The following is a 5,385-nucleotide window of genomic DNA, read 5'->3' as shown; positions in this document are numbered from 1 at the left end:
TTCTTCAGAGAAGCCTTTCTTGACCACGCTATCAAAAGCTGTCAGTACCACCCACCTCCTACCAATGCAATTACCCATCTATTGTTCTTTCAAGGCACTTATTTTCTGAAGTTTTATTTACCTCTCTGGTCTCTTGTTAATCGTCCGCCACAGCTCACTAGAATGTAAGCTCTAGAAGAGTTGAGATCTTGTCTTATTTACTTCTGATTCACCTGCACCTACAAGGCCTAGAACAGTGCCTGGTATATGAACAGGTGCTCAGTAAATTTGTGTTGCATGGATAAACTTGTTTCCAAGAGATTTCCAGCAGCGTGTGAAATGAATTCTGGCTGTCCTCAGAGAGGAACCTAACCTACTATTGCAGCAGTTTAGGTGAAAGTTTATAGGGACTATTTCAGGCCCCACTCAAATGCAGAATTGAAAGATACACACGAGGAAGATTCAACAGATATGAGCAACTGATGGCACAAAACAGGGAAAGGGAGGAGGAGGAGAAAAGAGATTCTGACCCAAAATTATATGGCTGGGGTGTGATAGTACTATCACTAACAACAAATGGAAATAGGAAGATGAGGGGGATTATGGGTTCTGTTTTTGACATATTAGGACAGGATACTAGCAGGGAATTCGAAATGAAGAATGTGACCCAGGAGAGAGGGTCACCTCTGGAGATGCGCTTTGGGGACTGTCTGCATCAAATTGCTAATTAAACCCATGGGGTGCTAGGAAACTGCTAAAGGCAAGAGCCCAGAGAGAAAAGGGCCTGACAGACTGAGGAGGCAAGTCTGGAGAAGGGCTGCTCAGGGAGGGGCTGGTCCAGCATCCAGCGCCGCCCCAGGGCTGCTGAGCACAAGGCGGGTCAGGGGCATGGGAGGTTGTCTTTGAGTCACTTCATTCTCTGCTTTTCAAAACTCAAGCTTTTCTCTACTGTAAAAGTTGTTGATGTTTTCTTTCTAGTCCATCAGCCTACAGAAACTTTACCTAAACAAACAAACGAAAAAACTCAGCTTTTTTCTACCTCTCTAGTTCATGTCACATTCTAATGATCACTTTTCCTTGGGTTTTCCCCTTCTCTCAAGTTGAGTCTTTTTCATAGTTTCATTCTGTCTATTTGTCTTTTGGTGATCTGTCCACTATAAAATAGGTATATGCCCTCCTGACTTGCAGGAAAAACATGTTTTCTTTCTTTTATTTTTAAATGGCACAAGTGATAAATAAATTCATTGTACTAAAATTTTAAACAATTCAGAGACATAGGAGTAAAAAGTTATTGTCCTCAGTATCAACTAACTCCCTCCAGATCTGTGTGTGTGTTTGTGTTTGTGTGTGTGTGTGTGTGTGTGTGTGTGTATAATTAAGAGAGAGAGAGAGATGGAGAAATTTAGGTCACAGACTCACGTGTGCAGGAAATATAAGTGCATTTTTCTACAATTGAATTTAATTCATATTTTGAGTCCCATTATGCTAAATGATGGGGAAAGAAATCTCAGACAATTCAGAGTTGTCCCAGTCAGTTCCTAGGTAAAGACTTCAAAACCCTAATCAGCATCAAACTCTTTTGCTTCTCTTCTGACACTCCCCCTATTTCAAAACTTTGGACTGTTTAATCTGGGAGTAGGGTGACCAACTGCCATGGTTTTCCTGAGACTGAGAGATTTCCCAGGATGTGAGGTTTTCATTGCTAGAACTGGGAAAACTTGGAGCAAATAGGCACAAGTTGGTCTGCTGATCTGGGAATGGGAGCGGGGATGAGAGGGAGCAGGGTAGAAACTGGCACTGATTGAGCAAGGATTCCTCAAAACCTGTTGTTTCTGGCAAAACCTTTAAACTCTGAACCTTTCAGGGATTAGATTTTTTTTCAAAACTCACAAGAAAGAATTGAATCCTATTTTCAGTTTCTATTTCATTATCTCTTCCTGGATTTTTCCATGTTTGTCCTGCTCTTTTGAACCGACAGCTTCTTTGGGGCACATGGTCCCCTTTTGTATTAATTTCCTCCTCAGACAGTGCCTTTTGGATCACTTTCTTGGCCCACATTCTCTGCAACTCATAGAAAAGTCCCTCCCTCGATGGAGCCCAGAGGGGTTTCCCAGAACCCACATCCCATCCTAAGCTGAAGACTCAGCCTTGGCTTCTCTAGTCCAGATGTTCCCGAGGAAGTTCATCTTCCTCAGGAGTGCACAACATCTCTGGGGGGAGAGGAATGGGGGCTGGAGGAACATACTTGAACTTGTATTAATATTTATATTTTATTCTAATAAAAAATAAGAAATTAAGTGTTGTTAATATCAGTTTATAAATTGATGCCATCACCTGCACTCCATGTGATGTCAGATGGTCATCATACATAATATGTGAAAGATCCTGACTTATATAAAATGTGATCGATCCTGAAGGAAGAATGATAGCTCCCCAATGCGGAAGAGAATGACGGTGGCATTGGCATCCTCATTCTTTGTTTATTTTTGGCTTATTGCAAAGTATTGCTATTTATGTATGCCTGGGTAAGTGGATTAGATAGGGTGTAGGATCAACATTTAGTTAAAGCAAACATTATAAAATATTTAAGTAACTAAAAATATTGACAGATACCAATAACGTAAGCACAAGGGAACAAGAGTAGTAGCCTCGCCTTGCTGCAACCCTCCAACCCCCTGCCAGCTTATTCTTCTCCAGCCATGCTGGTCTCCTTGCTTTTCTTGAGACACACAGACAGTGCCTTTTGGCCACATTCCACCTCAGAGCCTTTTCCCCGGCTGCTCCCCCTGCCTGATGTGTTCTTCCCTCCGTTCTTGGCAGGGCTCTCTTCTTACCTCCTTCAAGTCTTTGCTCACAGGTCACTTGGCAACTTCATTTAAAATTTCAACTCCCACTCTGAGAGATGCATTTCTCATTCTCCTTATTCTGCTTTATTATTTTTTACTCTAATACTTACCATCTTCTAGCATATCTTATAATTTACCTATTTATTATATCTGTTATCTGCTCTGATATAAGCTTCTTGAGGACAGGGATATTTGTTTTGCTCTGTACTGCCAGTGCTGAGCACATGACAGACCATGCAGATGTGTTGAATAAAGGCTATAGACTTGCAGAACCAACATTCTTTCTACTCTTAGTACAAGCTCTTAATTAACCATTGTATTTAAAAACTTGTAAAGGTGCACCCCTGTCCATTTCTAGAAATTTCTTTTTTTTGAGACACGGTTTCACTCTGTCACCGAGGTTGGAGTTCTGTGATCTCGGCTCACTGTAACCTCTGCCTCCTGGGCTCATACCATCATCCCACTTCAGCCCCCCAAGTAGCTGGGACCACAGGGGCACGCCACCATGCCTGACTAGTTTTTATATTTTTGGTGGAGACAGGGTTTTGCCATATTGCCTGGGCTGGTCTTGAACTCTTGAACTCAAGTGATCTGCATGCCTTGGCCTCCCAAAGTGCTGGGATTACAGGTATGAGCCATCACATGTGGCCCATTTCTAGGAGTTTCCAGTGTGGTGCTTCATAAGTGCTCACACCACATACGTTAATTTGCCTGCAGTGGTCACCACTTAGCATCTCACCTGTTCTTCTGGTCCAGTCCTTGCTCACCTGAAACCACTTGGAGAAGCTTCAAGGCTAACATGGCCCTTTGGAGAAGAGCAATGTCTGCCTATGCCGGGGTGCTGCATTGCCTGTTTTCTTCATCAGACTTTCTTTATAGTAGGAGCTTAGTGTGACACTAAACATCTCACAGAAATCTCACAGGTGACTCTTGAATAGATAGTTGTTTGCTATCCTCCCCTCTTTCTACCACGGGCACAAAACTAGTTTAATGATAATTAGATTCTCACATGCTTTTCTCTTCCTCACGTTTTGTCTCTTCCTCACTAAACACTGCTTCTCTATTTGAACGTAAAACATAGCTCTCATGCTTATGAATGTGTGTGAATATCTATTTGTACATGTCTGTGTGGGAGGTAGTGGCAAGAGGGGAAGAAAATGTATCTACAGTAGCAACAGCTAGCAAAAGTTGACCTGTGTATTAATACTATTCAGTTATGAGTGAAATATGATATTAAACATTGTAGATGCTATCCCCTAAAACTTATCACACTTCCTGAACTTGCATATTCTACCTTTCATGGACATGCTCTTGTCTCTCAAGACCCAACTCAAATATCATGTCCTCTGTGAAGCCTTCTCAGCTCTCTCAGGGTGAGAAAAAACTACACAGTTGTTGACTAGAATGAGTAAAGTTCACTAAGTGAAAGCTTAATTGAGCAAACACCTTATTATGTTAGCTTCTCAACATATGTATGAATAATGTACAGAAATAAAGTGCTATAAGAGGATCAAGTAGCTTTAAAACCACTAGAGAAACAATTGCTAATTGCAGAGGGCTAGCTGAAATGCATTTGAAAAGCTGCAGGGTAGATGGAAGTGGGAAATAGTTTGCTTTGCCTATTACCAGAAAGAGTAATGATCTTACTCATTAGCGCAAGAAGAGTGGCATTGTAACTGTGGGAAGAACTCCCAAACTCTAAGTTGACTAGCCTCTAAATCTCTGTGGGAGAGGATATATCCCTTTCCTACTTCTGGGAAATTTTCTGTCTCTCTTCCTCTCCTCCTCCTCTTCCCTTTCTCCTTTCTCCTCTACCTTCCTTTCTCTTTTCTTTTTTTTTTTTTTCCTTTTTTAACATCATGCCACTTGTGGTATCTATTGTGGATCAAGAGAAAGTCATAGTTTCTTTTTATTCCCCCCCCTTTTTTTTTTCTTAGACAGGGTCTTGCTCTGTCACATAGGCTGGAATGCAATGGCATGACCATGGCTCACTGCAGCCTCCACCTCCTGGGCTTAAGTGATCCTCCCACCTCAGCCTCTCTAGTAGCTGGGGATACAGGTGCACCAGCACCACTCCTGCCTGAGAAAGTCATAGTTTTTCATGACATTTTTTTGAGCTTTGAACTTACTTCAAACACTGCCTTGTTAATGTGCAAGTTTGTTAACATTTTAATAATAATGATAGGCGGTATTTTTGCGTGCTTATTATGTACTTAGTACTGTTCTAAGTAATTGACATATTAAGTTATTTAATACTAGAACAACCCCATGAGGTGGGTGGGCATTACTATTATTATTATTTGCAGATGAGGAACTTGAGATGCGGAGAGGTTAACTTGCTCCAAATCACTCCGCTATGAGAGCTGAGCCCAGGAAGTTTGTTTCTAGAATCTTTACTCTTCACCACCATGGCAGTTTATTGTCTGTCTCTCTTTAAGGAAACCATTAATACTGCTATTCAAATGTACATTTTACATAATAAACACAGGAAAGTGCATTCTTTAGGAAAACTAGAGAGATGATAAATCTATCACACACAGTATTTTTAAAGCTTATAATG

General features: G+C 41.2%; 1 annotated feature.

Moving 5' to 3' along the window:
• Window positions 662-956: a silencer, noted in NCBI's record as "tiled region #8796; K562 Repressive non-DNase unmatched - State 22:ReprW, and HepG2 Repressive non-DNase unmatched - State 24:Quies". NCBI's record gives its function as "represses a minimal TATA promoter and a strong SV40 promoter by Sharpr-MPRA in K562 cells, with weaker repression in HepG2 cells {active_cell/tissue: HepG2 | K562}" and the evidence as "EXISTENCE:reporter gene assay evidence [ECO:0000049][PMID:27701403]".

Source organism: Homo sapiens, chromosome 12 (assembly GCF_000001405.40).
Source record: "Homo sapiens chromosome 12, GRCh38.p14 Primary Assembly".
NCBI classification, from domain to species: domain Eukaryota; kingdom Metazoa; phylum Chordata; class Mammalia; order Primates; family Hominidae; genus Homo; species Homo sapiens.
Note: the sequence above shows the minus strand (reverse complement) of the source record. Positions and strands in the feature narration are given on the sequence as shown.